Here is a 17856-nt window from a genome sequence, read left to right as displayed (position 1 = left end):
ATGGGGATGGGTGTGGAGCTTTGGTGATGGGCACACAAAGGCGCTTCCCTTAGACTGCATGTGTCCCCCATGGAGTTTGATGGCTGGAGGAAGGAAAAGAGAAAGCAACAAGTGCCTTCGAGGAAAAAGGAAGATCTATGAGATAATTATCTTAGAGAAAGCAAGGTGACTCGTGAAAAGCAGTCAGACTGTGGAGCAGAGCTGAAAGTCCATTTGAATTTGACGGAGTCAGCCTGCTCAGGAGTATGATTTTCTCCAACAAAGGGGCAGGTTCAGAGAAGGCGAAGTGGCTGGGTTTTTCCAGAGTAGAATTTCTCCTAACATTTAGAAGCAGAAGGAGATAAACTTGTGCTAACCGGTGATTCTGCTAAGACTCAAAGAGGTTAAAGTAGTTTGTTCATGTTTGATCACCTGTACGTGGCAGAGCTGGTACTAAAATTAAGATCACAATCTCTCAGACCATGTTTTTGCTTGCTTAGATCAAATTTTCACCTCCCAGACTTCTTCCTTTACTTGATGCCTTCAGCTTTTCTAGAAAAAAACGCAAATCTCTGAATCACTGTTAACCTCAATGACTAACAAAGTTCCTGGTACAAAGTCTTGAGAAACTGTCAGCTACATAAATAAATGTCTGTGATATTATCTTCTCCCAGGATATTTTGATTTCTTGTTCACTCAAGGGGACATCATCTTTGGGATTCTTTTGTTCCTCTACCCCTGGAGCAGTATTGTCCGATAGAAATAAATAGAATGAGGGCTACATGTGTAATTTTACATTTCCAAGTAGCCCACATTAAATAAAGGAAAAAGCAATGGGTGAAATTAATTTTAATAATACATTTTATTTAATCCAATCTGTTCAAATATCATTTCAACAAAAAATCGACATTTGAAAAATTCAGATATCTTAAGTAATTTTATACAAAAGTCTTCAAACTCCAGGATGTATTATTTTACACGTCCAGCACATCTCAACTCTAACTCACCACCTTTCAAGTGTTCGCCAGCCCCATGTAGCTCATTGGTTTTCATACTGGAAAGCGTGTACATAGCGTCTTCATCAGCCATGGTGTCTTGAGCTGTTTGCCCCTGCATTCAAGATTCGAAGTGGTCCCCTTCCAGCCTGGACCTTGACCTATTAATTGTCCATATTTAAACTGTGGAATATAAGTGAGTCCCGAAAATTATTTTTTTCTTGGTTGAAAATGGCTGTAGTAAGTGCTGAGCAATTTTTAATCGATTCTACACAGGCTTTCTAAAGAACCAACGCTGACCAGTACCCCTGGCGGGAACGTTAGATCTATTGCTGTGCTGATGAATAAGGCATCTTTGCTATGCACCTTCCCAAAGGAACTGTTGAATTAGAAACTTCTGCAGAGATTATAAACCTTTAGAAAATAAAGCATTTTATCCTGCACAAGAATATTCACATTCTTACCAGGAATCCAACTATCCAAGTGTTTTGTTGTTCCTGCAATAAGTTTGATTTAAACTCTGGAAAACTGTTTTTTAAAAAAATTCCATGTCGATCACTAGCATCCCTCTCCCACTCCCCTCTCCCTACCCCGATAAGCCTTCACATTTATTTTGAGACAGAAAAGAGAATGGCTGGGCTCTGATTCTGACTGCCAAGCTTATAGATATCCCAGCTCTAGAGCTGCGTGTCCTGGGCAAGTTTCTTACCTTCTCTGTGCTTCATTTCCTCGTCTGTCAAAGGAGGATACTAATAGAAGCGACTTCAAAAGGGGTATTCTGAGGATTACGTGAGATATCACCTATGTAATAGATGATGCGTGTGACATATTTGTTAACCGCACCTGGCAGGAACTGCTCCCTCCTCTTGCCACCTCAGTTCATGAATAATAGGTGTGAAAATGCTTCTCACATTAGGCAGTAATACTGATAAACCCATAGAAATGTTTCCTTTAAAGAAGGCATTTTTTTTTTTTTTTTTTACATCTTCCAAAGGTTAAAAGCACTAGTTCTGGACTGAAAGAGAAAAGGAAATATTTATAGTAAAACAGGAAGGGAATCTTCATCTATTTAAATGGGAGCACTGTTTCCTTAGCACTTTTTAAAATAACCCTCATGCAGTCTTCCTGAGCTTTTAGCCTGTCTGTGTGAATGCCTCAGATTTCAGCTGTCTGCAAGGTTCTTGCTACATGCAGAAGGCAAGCATGCCCCGTCACGTACAGTTGCTGAGGCTGCCTGCCTTCTTCAGGCATGACTGTAGGGCTTGACAAGTGACAATGATGGTTTAAAATGCACACAATGCCAGTGTTTTCATTATGATCTCTGTTAGTTATGCTAAGGTATCTGCAAGAACATCCAAAGTCGGGGCCCCAGGAATACACAGATTTCACCTTCTGCCTTTCTTTCAGTTCCACAAGGAGAGATTCAAAATTGACATGCCACACAGATTTAAAGTCTACAATTACAAGAGCCCGACCTTCTGTGAACACTGTGGGACCCTGCTGTGGGGACTGGCACGGCAAGGACTCAAGTGTGATGGTGAGTCCAGTGGGGGATGAGCATGGCCCGACGTGGACCCCCTAGGGGATGGAGCAAGGCTTTCTGGGGAACTGGAGGGAGGATGTAGGGGGTACCACTTCCACACCCAGCCCAGACAAGTCATGATCATAAGTATGGTCTTCTGGGGCAATAAGCCACTATGTTCCTTTCCTTGCACCCTGCAACACCCCCACCCACACATCCCAGAAAAGAGCACAACAGTTCAGGTTCAAGGTCAAACTCCTAGCTCCATCACCTTCTGCCGTACCATAGCCCTGGGGGAAATGAAGACAGTGTTTCTCCTCTCACTGGTCTTTCTACTACTAGTTTCCTCAGTGGGCTCTGGGCTGCCCCTTCCTAATCCCAACAGGTCTAGCTGTGTGGTACCCTAACCCTTCTCCTTTGCACCAGCCAGTAAGATTCTTTCTGTCATCTCATCAAGGAGCAAGCCCAGCACATTCATTTGGCTGACACATGGTCCTGCACAGAAATTCTGTAACATTAGCTTGAGCATCCATCCCTAAACCATTGCTGTGAACTCCAAGTGCCCAGTAAGAGGCTGGCCCGGTTGTGACCGTCATTGCCTGTTTTCTGGTCTTTCCTCCAAGGCCAGGATCGCAGCAGAGCCTAACCTGCCATTCATTATTGATGGAGTTTCTCAGACCTACCATCAAAAAAGGAAACAAGGCAAGGCTTTCTTGCTGTACAACTCCAAGTTGCTAAGGCGATAACGTTTAGAAGCTGAGATGCTGTTACACTAGGATTAAGGACTAGGGAAGAAAAAAAAAAACCCTCAAGAACTGACAAGGCACTCTGCTTTCTGGTTGGGGAGAGACGTGGGCAGAGCCCAGAGAATAGAGCCACAAAAGGAGAACCACCTGTTGCATACAGACAGCTTCTGATTTTTTTCTTCTTCTTTTACTTTTTTTCTGAGACAGGGTCTCACTTTGTTGCCCAGACTGGAGACTGGTGTGCAGTGGCTCGATCACAGCTCACTGCAGACTTGACTTCTTGGACTCAAGCAATCCTCCCACCTCAGCCTCTCAAGTAGCTGGGACCATGGGCATGTGCTACCATGCCTGTTTTTGTTTTTTTTGTTTTTCTTTGTTTTTTTTTTTTTTTAGAGGTATGGTCTTGCTATGTTGCCCAGGCTGGTCTCAAACTCCTGGGTTCAAGCGATCTTGTCTCCTCAGCCTCCAAAAGTGCTAGGATTACAGGAGTGAGTCACCATGCCTGGTGAGCACAGACCTTTTCTTATGATGAAGTATTAAATATATAAGCCACTTTATTTTTTCTTGGCAGCCCTATTTTGATCAGTGCTACTGACTAATGTATGTCCTCTCTTTTGAGCAATGAGGTACGTGATGGAAGGCGGCACAGCATCTTCCGCATTCTCCCCTTCTTCATCCCAATCCTGTTCACATGTCTGGTGGAACCCAGAGCGACCTCTCAGTGGAGGCAGGAGGGGTTAGGTTTTCAAATCATTACCTAAAGCAGACATCACAGGAGGCCAACATTAGCCTCAAGAATCCGTTCCTGGCCCCAAAGGACACTGACACGCTTTTCTCTACACCCCTGTTCAAGAAGACATGGATAGGCAGGGTATTAAGAGTTCATTAGGAGGTCAGAGACAAAACGTAGTGTCCCGGCATCCTGCATCCTGACGGTATCCACAGAAACAGGAGAAATTCTCGCCTCTTGGTTCTCCTGTGATGGTCTCAGGTCGGGTTCTCTGTCCTGGGAGCCCGAGAATCCACTTGCAAGAAGAGCTGGTCCCAGCAGCGCCGCGGCACAGCTTAGAACTTCCCAGGGGTTCCTGGGCGTTATTTCATGGCTCTTCTGCCTGCTTCGTTTCATTTCTTTCCTTGAATACTCTTTCCTTTCCGCTCCATTCTGTTCCCCGCTCTCTCCTACCACCTACATTTCAAGTGCTCCCCTCCCCTTTTTCTTTTGTCCCCTCTCCTCTCCCTCCCCTGCCCTGGTTTGTTTTCCATTCTTGCTTCTGACACTCCCGGGTCCCTGCCCCTCCACTGTGCTCACCCCGCCTGCTCCGCTCACCCCGCATGCCCCCGCGTCCTCCTTTCTCGACTCTTCTCGCCCTCTTCTCCAGCTCTCTTCCCTCCCTCTCTGCCTCCCTTTCATCCTGCCTCCTTGCAGGCCGTCGTCTTAAGTAGGGCCTCCTTAGCCTTTTACCCTGCCTTCTCTTTCTCCCCACAATAATTCCCAAGAAAATAGTCATCCAAAGGGACTCTTTGCCCTCCAAGAAACTGAGTTACGGCCTGATAGGTTAGTAACAAAGACTTAGGACCTTCTCGTGGAGATGGTGGTGGCCTTTCTTCGCGGCCATGCAAGTCACAGAGAAGCCTAGATGTGGCTACAGTTTTAAGGAGCAAAGTAAAACTCCATCCCTCTATGTTCAATCCTAGCTGACAACCTCACTTGGTGTCACGGTGATGCATAAGAAAATGGAGCTGGGGCTACCGAAGTTGAAACCTGACACCTTCTAAATAGGGCGAATGTGAGTTATGCGAGTTTTGCCGACAATGTGGAATTTGGAGCACAATCATGAAAAAAAAAAATCCTTTCTATAGTAAAGATTTTAGGCCGGGCACGGTAACAGACCTGTAATCCCAGCACTTTGGGAGGGCAATGCGGAAGGATGGCTTGAGCCCAGGAGTTTGAGACCAGCCTGGGCAACAAAGTGAGACCCCCATCTCTACGAAAAATAAAAAAATTAGTCGGGTGTAGTGGTGTGCACGCCTGTGGTCTCAGCTACACAAGAGGCTGAGGCAAGAGGATGGCTTGAACCCAGGGGTTTGAGGCTGCAGTGAGCTATGATTGCACCACTGCACTCCAGCCTGGGCAACAGAGCAAGACCCTGTCTCAAGAACAACAACACAACAACAAAGATTTTAAATATGCAGAAAAGATTTTGCTTCAGGTGAATTTTTCTGGCTATATCTATGCCTATATACTCGGTCTAGTAATGGTTAATAGTTGACCGGGCGCGGTGGCTCACACCTGTAATCTCAGCACTTTAGGAGACCGAGGTGGGCAGATCACTTGAGGTCAGAAGTTGGAGACCAGCCTGGCCAACATGGCGAAACCCTGTCTCTACTAAAAACAAAAATTAGCTGGGTGTGGTGATGGGCGCCTGTAATCCCAGCTACTCAGGAGGCTGAGGCAGGAGAATCTCTTGAATCCGGGAGGCCGAGGTTGCAGTGAGCCAAAATCGTGCCACTGCACTCCAGCCTGGGTGACACAGCGAGACTCCATGTCAAAAAAAAAAAAAAAAGTAATAGTTATTTACATAGAAAATTCTGCTTTATTTTATTATTGAGCTATTTGAAGAAGAGTGGACCAGTGAAAACTACAGGTGAGGGTTGCCCAAATTTCACCTAAATATTTTAATATCTACATCTATGCAATAAATGATGAAGATGAAAAGGAAGTTGTATTTGTTGAGCGCCTGCTCGATGCCAGTCATTGTGCTAAGCTTCTTTGCACACACATGTGCAAATCAGCAGATAAGATTAAGACTGCATGATGTCATAGCACCTGGTGCCTGCTTCTATTACAACACTCTCTACTCACAGACTCTGTCAGCTGGAGTTTGGAAATCTTTATATCTGATTTTTCTGTATTTTAATGGTGATGTTTCTTTTTTTTTTTTTTTTTGAGACACAGTCTCGCTCTGTCTCCCAGGCTGGAGTACAGTGGCACGATCTCAGCTCACTGCAACCTCCGCCTCCCAAGTTGAAGTGATTCTTCTGCCTCAGCCTCCTGAGTAGCTGGGATTACAGATGTGCACCACCACACCTGGCTAATTTTTATTGTTATTATTTTTAGTAGAGATGAGGTTTCACCATGTTGGCCAGGCTGCTCTCAAACTCCTGACCTCAGGTGATCTGCCCGCCTCGGCCTCCCAAAGTGCTGGGATTACAGGTGTGAGCCACCACGCCTGGCCTTTAATGGTGATGTTTCATTAGCAAAATTTGAATTTCTAAAACTAATAATTGTCTTTACACAGTCACATGGGCACACGCTCTCCAGTCCAAGAGGGATCTCTTGGTCACTGGCAATGGAAGTTAGATTCTATGCTACTGTTTTCAAGATTCATGAATCAGAATACTCACCCTGAATTGTAGGATCCCCAAGCTAGAATCCTGTATAGATCATGAGTCCAGTGCTGGAGATCCTTAATCGGGAGCCCCCAGAGCGTTCATGACTTGCCCAAGGTCACACAGTGTCCACGCTGTGCAAGCTGCCACCAGCACCCCGTTCTCCACCCACCTGACAGGTGCTCGAGTATTTCCCTCTCCTCTTTCTTTTTCTTTAACATCTTATGTGACTTATAAAGATGACAGAAAACTTTGGTTCTTTTTCTTCGAGTTACCTTTCATAACAGGTTGTAGATGTCAATTTACGCCATCAGTTCATGCGTGCAAGAAATATCACTTTCTTTATGACTGTGAGATCCACTTAGTTAACATTCTCATCTAGTAATCCTTGGGGCCCTCTACCCTTCCCATAATCACACGAGGTTTTCAGGAGGCATGGGTACAGGGGCCTGGAAACTGGGGAATGTGCTCAAACACCCGGTTGCTGTTGGCCTCCTCATCTAAGCCCACACTGGTGAAGCCTGTGGCTTTATGTTTCCACACCGTGTGTAGAGTTTGTGATTTTTTTTTCAAAGCTGAGGTCCTCATGCCTGGTCCAGTCTTGCTAGGTGTGTTCTGCCGTGACCTCTCCTGGCATTGCTAGCCTCCTCCTACTCCATCCCTTCCCACATATACACTCCGGCTCCACCGTCTGATATCCATCTGCAGGCTGAGGCTGCCTCCTGGGCTTCAACCTAAAGGCTGGGGGAAGCTCTTCATGGCCCAGGTGGGAAAGGGGATGTTTTGGACCCAGACTGGAGTGGGCAGGAATATTCTTCTGATGCAGGGCAGGTGAGCCCCAAAGTGGGGCTTAGCCCAGGAGAGTTCTTGGCTTCGCCCAGGAAGAATTCAAGGGTCGGCTGTTGGTAGAAGAAAACAGCTTCATTGGCCAACGGTATTACAGTTCTGTTGGTGTTACAGCTCCATGACTGCTCCTGCAGAGCAGGGCTACCCCAGAGGCAGAGAGTAGCAGCTCAGGGCAGTGCTGCAATCCTATTTATACCACTTTTAACTACATGCAAATTAAGTTCCTGGAAAAAGGGTGGTAACGTCTGGGTGTTGCCATGGCAACACTAAACTGACATGGCACGCAGGTGGGCATCTTCTGGAAAGCTGCTTCTGCCCTGTCCCTGTTTTAGCTAGTCTTCAATTTGGTCTGGCGTCTGAACCCCACCTCCAGAGTTGAGTCCCACCTCCTACCTCACTTCCCTTCCAGCACGAGGATCACTACCAGGGAGAGCCAGGGTCAACTTCCTCCCAGCCGTGGCACTTTAGGCTTTCCTCCCTATCCGCAAGGCTCTGTCTTACCTCCAGAGAGAGTTGTTTAGCACCAGGGGGTTCTTCCACTCTTGCTCACTATCTGCCTTCTTCCTTCCAGCATGTGGCATGAATGTGCATCATAGATGCCAGACAAAGGTGGCCAACCTTTGTGGCATAAACCAGAAGCTAATGGCTGAAGCGCTGGCCATGATTGAGAGCACTCAACAGGTAGGAGCATGTGCCGTGGACACGTTCCCGCCATGGCCGCTCAGCAAGGATGTCCATGCACTTCTGCTGCTTCACCTGTGGCAGCCCTATGGGAAATGCCGGGATGTATTTCTGAGCACCGGCCTTGCCCTTGGCTTTCATATCCATGCCCACACCCCCTATCTTTGAGATATTTATTTAATGCATTTGTATTATGCAGATCTTTATAAAATCTTAAATTCTTCATGGCATGAGCATTGCAGAAACAAATAAATTCATTAAAGTTATTGAAGATTCATTGACAGCTTTATGTGAATATATTCGGGTTATAGAATAGCCTGGGGGAAAACACTTATGTGCTAGCATCATCCTCATGGAACACCGAGTCCAGGGCAAATTTGGCCTGCTGTTTACTGTTTTGGCATTAGCTGAATTCCTAGATCCAAGGATAAACCCTCTTTAAGACTTGGCATTGCCTGTATCAGCTGTTTTCCCATCCATTAACTACCTGTCCTTATTTGTGATGGAATGATGTAGACAGCATGAGAGAATCCTGTCAGCCCCAGAAAAGTGTGAAGGAGGCAAACGTGTTCGGCTAATGCATAAAATACAGTAGATAGACTCTCCCAGAATATGGGGTTCCAAAAGAACGTTGAGGATAAGGAGATCTTTGTTGACCCTATGCATTTAAACATTTTAAATGGCCTTTGTCCCCATCGTTAGCAGGCTGAGCTGTTCCATCAATGGTGGGTGGGTGGGTGGTCTGACTCTCTGTTTGTCATCCAGGCTCGCTGCTTAAGAGATACTGAACAGATCTTCAGAGAAGGTCCGGTTGAAATTGGTCTCCCATGCTCCATCAAAAATGAAGCAAGGCCGCCATGTTTACCGACACCGGGAAAAAGAGGTAGCTGTCCTGATCAGCAGTCTAATCACTGTCAGTCATTAATCTCAATTAACCCTAACCTAATGCCCTTGGATTTAAGTTATCAGCTTACCTGGTCTGATAGGTGATCCACCTCCAGCTACCAACTAAGAGGCTCCCACTTCTTAGAAAAGAAACTAAAACCTTTTACCTTTGTAAAAGGCAGGAGGTGGGGGTTAGAAAATGGGATAGGTCTGGAGGGAACAACCACAAATGTTTTCTTAGAGTTTCAGCATGTTACATTCTGTCAGTGTCAAATGGTTTCACAGAAATAAATCTGTCTTAAAATTTGATGGTGGGAAGGCCACAGAAGACATTCTTACTCTGCACCTTTGAGACTTAAATTTAAGGGTAGGAAAGAGAAGGACTCAAAGCCACTTTCATGACATTATGGCAGTTTTTCCAGCCTACTGTTTGAAAGCAGTTCATGAGTGGATATGACCCATGTTTCTGAGACCTGAGTCGTTTCAGCATACATTCTAAAATACTTAGTGTCCTTGGAAGAGTATGAAAGATAAACCTAGGGATTTAAAAATATAGAGACTATTGTAGGCAGGGGGAAATTCCTAAAAATTTCTCTTATGTTTTCTCTGACTTCAAATCAACTTAAAAATGTAAATGAAAGGTTTGGGTTACATTTAGGAGGGGTTGCCAGGCAGTCAAGGAGACTATGTCTTAGCAATGATCAACATAGGCAGCATCTTTTTTTTTTCTTTTTTGAAGACAGAGTCTTGCTCTGTGGCCCAGGCTACAATGCAGTGGCACAATCTCAGCTCACTGTAACCTCTGCCCTGTGGGTTCAAGGGATTCTCCTGCCTCAGCTTCCCGAGTACCTGGGACTACTTGCGCACACAACCGCACCCAGCGAATTCTTTGTATTTTAGTAGAGATGGGGCTTCACCATGTCGCCCAGGCTGGCCTCAAATGCCTGAGCTCAGGCAATCCGCCCACCTCGGCCTCCCGAAGTTGTCAGATTACATGTGTGAGCCACCATACCCGGCCAACGTAGGCAGCATCTTGACTTGAATTCTGGGATGAATGATGCAGTTCAGATCTTTAAAAATCTGCTAGATTTCATTTCCTGTCTCTCTCACGCTGTAAATTGTAGAAATTGATGCCACTGTGTTTGTGAGCCATGCAAACAATTGAAAATCATTTTTTTCCTAAAATTTGGTTAAAATCCCTAGATGTCCTTGATGTGGCATTATTAACAGTGCTTGTGTATTTTGCATATATGGTCTTTTACTGATTGGAATTTGTTTCTTAAGTTGAACTATTTCCCAGTCTATTGAAGAAAGAGACATAGTCCACACTCCAAAATCCAAATGCCAGGCTCACAGACAGGGGGTGCTGCCCTCACAGACAGATGGAAAGGTATTAAAGCTGCCTGAACTGTAGGAAACCCTCTAAACACCCCCAATTACTATGATGGAGCCTCAGCATGGGAAGTAGAAGAGAAAGCATGTGCTCTCAGTAACTAGAATGACCTCCATTACTCCATGTTCATTTTTAACCACCAGCTTGCATTTTCAGAGCCTCAGGGCATTTCCTGGGAGTCTCCGTTGGATGAGGTGGATAAAATGTGCCATCTTCCAGAACCTGAACTGAACAAAGAAAGACCATCTCTGCAGATTAAACTAAAAATTGAGGATTTTATCTTGCACAAAATGTTGGGGAAAGGAAGTTTTGGCAAGGTAAGCTAATGCACGGGAGAATGCTATGGCCCAACTCCAGGAACTGATGAGCCAAGTTCCTGGTCAAAGAAATTAAACTCATAGGGCCACTAGGATTGCATGTGAGTGTCAGAGACAGCTTTCCTGAGGGAGCGCTGAATAAATAGGGACCCCGAGGGCTCTAGGCCCATAGTAGCCTCAGCTTTCTGGAAACCTGTGTCTCCAAAGCTACTTTGCTTGGAGAGTGTACATCTCACACGCCTATGAGTTTGATGTCTTTGGGCACCAAAGAAATAGGAAGGTGCCTCAGCCACTTCCTGTTTCACACGGTGTTTGTGTTTGTTTCATTTTGTTTTCTCTTCTTTTGCTTCATTCTCAAGCCTGGAGTGTTGTTTTAGTTTGCATGTGATTTTTTTCTCTCTCTATTAAATATCTTCCAGCTTGTATAAGTTTCCTTGGGGTGTGATAGGGCTCGGCTCTGTGTCCCCACCCAAATCTCACGTTGAATTGTAATAATCCCCAGGTGTCATGGGAGGGACCCAGTGGAAGGTGATTGAATCATGGGGATGGGTTTTTCTGTGCTGTTCCCATGATAGTGAGTAAGTCTCATGAGATCTGATGATTTTATAAAGAGGAGTTTCCCTACACATGCCCTCTCACCTGCCACCACGTAAGACGTCCCTTTGCTCTTCCTTTGTCTTCCACCATGATTGCGAGGCCTCCCCAGCTGTGTGGAACCGAGTCCATTAAACCTCTTTCCTTTATAAATTATCCAGTCTCGGGCATGTCTTTATTAGCAGTGTGATAACAGACTAATACAGGCTGCTATAACAAAATCTCACATACTGGCTGGCTTAAACAGCAGAAATTCATGTTCTCGCAGGTCTGGAGGATGGAAGTTCACCATCAAGGTGTTGTCTGGGTTGTTTCTTCCCAGGCCCCTCTCCATGCTTTGCAATGGTCGCCCTCTCTCCATGCCTTCATATCATCTTCCTCCTGTGCATGTCTGCATCCAAGTGTTCTCCTTTTTTGAGATGACGTCTCACTGTGTTGCCCAGGCTGGTCTTGACCTCCCGAACCCAAGTGATCCTCCTGTCTCAGCTCCCTAGTAGCTGGGATTACAGTTGTGCCACCACACTCTGCTTAAATTTTCTCTTCTTGTGAAAACACCAGTCATATTGGATTAGGACCTGCCTTAATAACCTCATCTAACCTTAATTACCTCTTTGAAGGTCCTGTCTCCAAATACAGTCACTTTCCAAGGTCCTGGGGATTGGAACTTCAGTATAGACACAATTCAGCCCATAAGAAAACTGTAGCTTGAGAGTCCTGGAAAAAAATTGTGGAGAAAGTCCCTCCTCTAAATTCTTCCTGCCATACATGCAGGTGGGGGGTTGTCTCCATCACTCACAGATGACAAGGAGAGGAAGGAAAGAGGGAGAGGAGGAGCAAAAAAAAAAAAAAGGGGAGGTGAGAAGAAGGAAGAAGAGATAATTTAAGAAATTATAACCAACTACCGGTGACTGCAGAAAATTTTCAAGCTGGTGATTTAAGGAGGGATGATATGGAATATAGGCTTTTAGGTAATTTTTGATATTAAGGGTATCTCATGTATTAACGGGGCTCCTATTTGTTTTACATTCTTGGATGGGACTCCCAGGAAAATTTTAATCAGAGATGACTGTTCTATGAATCTGTGCAGCCAAAGGCAGCATTATACACCACAACTGCTCACCAGACTTTGGCAGGATGTCTTACCCAGTTTATTTAATATTAAACAAACTAAAATGCAACTGAGCGGTCACCACAGCTGAATAATATTGAGCTCCATTTGGGGTTTGGATTTAAACACTGATGCCTTGCCTTTCAGCAGAATCGACTCTGTCCAGCACATGGTAGCTGATATTCAGGAATTCTTTTTGTTCAGTTCCACAATAATATGAACCACAGTAGGCTCATTTGGTGCTAATCTGAGCATAATAGGCAATGTTACAGCCAGTCTTCATTGTAATTTAGCAGCAATTAATGTGCAATTATAACCTGTTACCAAAAATTGAAAGCACATTATATAGATGGAAATTGTCTTTTTGGCTTCTTAGTTTATGGCTGGTTTTAGGGTGTTTTACTGAAAGAAGCAATTACTAAAAGAGGACTTTTAATTGTTAATGAAATGTTTATCTTTCTTTGTTCCCATGTGGATTTCCACATTTGAATAAGGTTAATAAGGAAGACATTAAGTTAAACCTACAAGCCTTAGTCGGTATCCCAAGGTGCAGCTGGGAGCCCCAGGTTTCCCCCACTCCATGTCCAAAGCTGTCTACTTCTTTTCATCAGGACCCTGGGTCCCTATACACGGAGAGGAGAGGAGGGGGAGATATCAAAGCAAGACAGGATGGCTGTTTCTCTTTCTCACAACACTGAGAATACTCCAAAACTTGTCTTTTCTCTCTCTTCTGGCTTTATGTGGAAAGTATGTTTCCTCACCAAGACCTCTATACCCTTGTTCTCAAACAAATTTTAAGCCTAAGAAAACAAATTGTGTGTTCTCTGGGGATGTGAGCATCATTCATTTGCCTGAATTCCCATCTAAGTTTCATCCCTTCCCTTCTATCAAGTCAGCTACCATCAAGCTACGAACCTGCTCCGTCGCTTTTAAACCTAGACACTTACATGTTCAGGGCTGTTGTCACATCATTGACTTCGGCCTTTCCCAAAAGTCAATAACAGAAACAAATGACAAATGACTGAATTTTAGCAACTGTGATTCAGAGATCATTTTAGAGTCTACTTTCCCAGGTCTCATCTTACCTGACTTTCACAACAGTCCTGTAAGTTAGAGAATGCAGTAGTAATTGGAAACTGAAGCCCAGAGGGGCTAATTCATCTGCCCACATTTCCACAGCTAATAAATGTCTGTGAAATAAAACTAGAGCTAGAATTTTCTGTATCCAAATGCCATGCCCTTACCATTGCCAACAGTGTGTTGCTGCATCATTTGCAAAAACTAAAATTGTTGAAACCCTCCATCATATGCCATCTGGTGTCCTTTGATATAAGAGCCACAAAATCAAGTGGGAAAAGTAGATTTTGGAGTTAAATCTTCCCTCATAGCTCCAAGAATCTGAGCAAGTTATTCTTTGAACTCAGTGTTTGTTGTTGATGTTGTTAACTTCTGTCTTGCAGAGTGTGATGAGCTAAGAATTAAATTAGATAATACAATTAGGTCGTAAGTGTAAAGTAGGTAGCAGAGTGTATGACACACAGTAGGTCCTAAAATGTTTCATTCCCATTTTGGTGTCCTTTGATACGAGAGCCACGAAATCAAGTGGGAAAGTAAACTTCGGAGTTAAATCTTTCCCTAGTAGCTCGAAGAATCTGAGCAAGTTATCCTTTGAACCCAGTGTCAGTCACATTTTAGGACCTACTACATGCCATACATTCTGCTATGAATAATTCATTGCTGTGTTGTCAGAGAAAATGGTGTTTACTTATTTATTTTTTTTTATTTTGAGACACAGTCTCACTCTGACGCCCAGGCTGGAGTGCAGTGGCATGATCTCAGTTCACCACAACCTCCGCCTCCCAGGTTCAAGCAATTCCCCACCTCAGCCTCCCGAGTAGCTGGGACTACAGGCACCCACCACCATGCCCGGCTAATTTTTGGATTTTTTTTTTTTTTTTTTTTTTTTTTTTAGTCGAGACGGGGTTTCACCATGTTGGCCAGGCTGGTCTCGAACTCCTAACCTCAGATGATCTGCCTGCCTTGACCTCCCAAAGTGCTGGGATTATAGGCTTGAGCCACCGCACCTGGCCGGTGTTTATTTTTTAAGTACACAAGGAGAACTATATCCCTCCATTCTTCTTTTGGCCTGGAAAAACTGGGTAAAACGTAAAGCTAGGATTTATGTGCACTTGCAGTGATGTTTCGAGTACAGTTTCTCCTCTCCACACTCAACTCTTCTTTCTTCACTGTGCACTTTATCTCTCTGGATTTTTATTGTACCTTCACTCAGATCCCTGAGCAGGCAGGGCACACTTTTAAAAATCCATTCAATTGCTTAATAATTTTGTGAACCCTTGGAAAGAGTACAAAGATAGTATGAAATAGTGATGTCATGTCCGAAACCAGAGAAGTGCTCCATTTTGTCTCAGGAATGGCCTATGCAGGATGGATGGGGGTTGGAGAAGGAACCCCTTTTCCCACCCAACACAGGTGTCTCTCAGGACTCTGTCTCTTTTTTAAGAAATGGGAATCCAAATTCTAAAATAAAGTTACTTCTTCCCTCTCCTTCTAGGTCTTCCTGGCAGAATTCAAGAAAACCAATCAATTTTTCGCAATAAAGGCCTTAAAGAAAGATGTGGTCTTGATGGACGATGATGTTGAGTGCACGATGGTAGAGAAGAGAGTTCTTTCCTTGGCCTGGGAGCATCCGTTTCTGACGCACATGTTTTGTACATTCCAGACCAAGGTATGGCTTCTGCTCCGACAACCCTACCTCCCCTCTAACCTGTCTCAGCATGATACCTTCAATGGCGCCCTCATTAGGAGACACGAGTCATTGCCTCCATATTTATCTTACATTTCGGTGTACCTGCCATCCATCCAAACATCCCTTCTACACACCATGGAAGTATTACTTAGAATGTTTTAGTGTCATCAATTGGGAAAGATCTTTACTTCTAGATTTGTTTGTCTGTTTTCCTGTTTTTTAGAATTTGGTTTCATTTAGCATAACAACCAGGCTTCTCAGCAGTCCGTGACTTAGGGGAAAATGTAACAAGTGTTTGTTCATCTACCCTGCATGTACTGGAAGAGATAAAAGTTGGAAAATAGATCAAAACGCACGTACACTATTATTTTTCTCTTCAAGGCTGGCAGAAAAAGCAGCCTTGGAGTGGGCTCATCAGTGAGCAAGCCCCTGAGCTGGGAGGTGGAGGTTGGATGCGTCTGCATTCCCACTCGGTGTTGGGACCCTTTCCTTATGCTGAATTTGCCAGAAGGCTGTGCCGTTCTGGGAGGACTTGCATCCTGGTCTCCTTTTTCCTTAAAAAAACAAAAATTATCCTTTTCTTTCCTGACTCAAAATTATTCAGGATCATTGTAGAAAATTTTTATAAACTCAAAGAAGAAAATCACTTATAATCCCACCACTTAAGATATACTCGCCATTAATACTTTGAAGTTTCTCCTTCTATAGATTCTCTCTGCAGTGGACTTCTAAAAACAAAAATAGCAACCCACTGTAAATACCTACTGCACTGTACTCTGCATTTGTTACACTCTATTTTGAACATTTTCTTACGTCTTTGGATATTCTACAACGTGATTTAACTAGAACATCTCTAATTTTTTGTTCTGATTTAAATAACACTAAAATGAACATCCTCGAAGATTAGTTTTCATGCACATGCATTATGATTCTTCTTACTGGTTTGTCTCCTCTCTGCCACCCCATCCCGGCTGTCCACCACCCGCACTAATTAGCAGCCTCAAGTGGGACCATATGACTAAGGGCCAAAGAACACAAGGGGCGGAGGCTTTTCCATTTTCTGTTTTCTTTCTTTTTGTTTGTTTGTTTTGTTTGTTTGTTTTGAGACGGAGTCTCACTCTGTCGCCCAGGCTGGAGTGCAATGGTGTGATCTCAGCTCACTGCAACCTCCGCCTCCCGGGTTCAAGTGATTCTCCTGCCTCAGCCTCCTGAGTAGCTGGGATTACAGGTGTGCACCACCACACTCAGCTAATTTTTGTATTTTTAGTAGAGACAGGGTTTCACCATGTTGGCCAGGCTGGTCTCAAACTCCTGACCTCAGGTGATCCACCCCCCTCAGCCTCCCAAAGTGCTAGGATTACAGGCGTGAGCCAACGCACCCAGCCCTTTTCCCATTTTCTATCTCAAGCCATGACGACTGGAGAGTGAATGAGGGAAAACTTCTAAGGAGACTTGAGCCATGGGAAGAATTAATGAGGGAACCAGGGAATGAATGAGGAAAGTGGATGGCAACTGGGGCATCCATCACCACCTCTGCAGTTCCCAGTAGATTCTCAGCATATGTGCAATAACCAAATCAATGAATAAATGCACTTACCTAAGATAAAGAGAAGCCAGACCATGGCAAAGCACTTACTGAGCATATGCTGTGCTCAAAGCACTGTGGAGGATACAGAAGTATATAATACAGCTCCCGACCTTGAGAACTTCACACTCTAATAAGAGTCAAGGCTGCATTTCTAACAGTATGAGTAATATTAGATCAGAAGGCAGACACAAAGTACCAGAGCTGAGAGAAACTAGAAAGAGGAATTTGAATGGGCAGAAAGGGCCTTGGGCATGAAAGGTGTGGCTGCAGGAGAGGAAGTAGAAAAGAGTGAGGTGTCCTGGTCAACTATTTAGGAGAATGCAGGCCCGCTTCCTGCTGCAGGGAGCAGGCTGGAACTTCCCATGATGAAGGCTAGAAGAGATTTTGTACTAGAAACTCCCTCCTGGAGATGATAAATACCCATTGGCCTGGGAGGGTGAAGGTATGTCACCTGCAGGCAAAGGGACAAACTCTGCCACCCTCTCCATGCTGTTGGGAGGGTGAAGGTATGTCACCTGCAGGCAAGGAGACAAACTCTGCCACCCTCTCCGTACTGTTGTCTAGATTTTCTGCACATGCTGGGGCTCCCTGTAATCTTTTCCCTTTGCAGTATTTTGAGGCTTGTAGCAAACTGCTAAACACATTTTTTCTTTTTTGCCATAAATAAAGATTTTTACTGTAAAGCTTTCATAGTAGCGAAAAATTGGAAACAACACAAATACCCAATGACAGATTTATTGAATAAATTATTATATGGTCAGAGAAAATAATACTATATAACCATTTTAAATGATGATGTAAATGCTTAAACATCAATACAGAATGTTGTTTATGAAATCATAAGTGAGAATATATAGTATTTCCTTTTAAGCAAGAACATTTGCATGTATAAGCATGAAAAATAATGAAAAACTAACAGTTGTTAATTGGGAGGTAGGATTATAACTGATTTTATTTTTATTATATCTTTCTGTGTATGTTACTATAAACACATTTTAGACTGGGCTTCTGGGCACTTAGGCAGTTGTGCTTCTCTTGGTGCCTT

General features: G+C 44.1%; 1 protein-coding gene and 1 long non-coding RNA gene across 10 annotated transcripts in view; one reads left to right on the top strand and one right to left on the bottom strand.

Moving 5' to 3' along the window:
* PRKCQ (protein kinase C theta) overlaps positions 1 to 17856 on the top strand; it is a 186550-nt gene that overhangs the window by 86453 nt on the left and 82241 nt on the right. For all 9 annotated transcript variants that reach the window (NM_001323267.2, XM_005252497.5, NM_001323265.1 and 6 more), the window contains 5 exons: positions 2382 to 2511; positions 8050 to 8159; positions 8925 to 9042; positions 10594 to 10754; positions 15029 to 15202. In NM_001323267.2, coding sequence (NP_001310196.1) covers positions 2382 to 2511; positions 8050 to 8159; positions 8925 to 9042; positions 10594 to 10754; positions 15029 to 15202 — 693 coding nt within the window. The remainder of the gene's footprint in view (positions 1 to 2381; positions 2512 to 8049; positions 8160 to 8924; positions 9043 to 10593; positions 10755 to 15028; positions 15203 to 17856) is intronic.
* On the bottom strand, positions 818 to 1725 carry LOC107984202 (uncharacterized). The gene is made up of 2 exons (XR_001747350.2): positions 1684 to 1725; positions 818 to 1135 (listed from the first exon to the last, which is right to left on the bottom strand). It is a non-coding gene; the product is annotated as an uncharacterized LOC107984202 (long non-coding RNA).

The sequence above is a fragment of the Homo sapiens genome, chromosome 10, assembly GCF_000001405.40.
Source record: "Homo sapiens chromosome 10, GRCh38.p14 Primary Assembly".
Classification (NCBI taxonomy): domain Eukaryota; kingdom Metazoa; phylum Chordata; class Mammalia; order Primates; family Hominidae; genus Homo; species Homo sapiens.
Note: the sequence above shows the minus strand (reverse complement) of the source record. Positions and strands in the feature narration are given on the sequence as shown.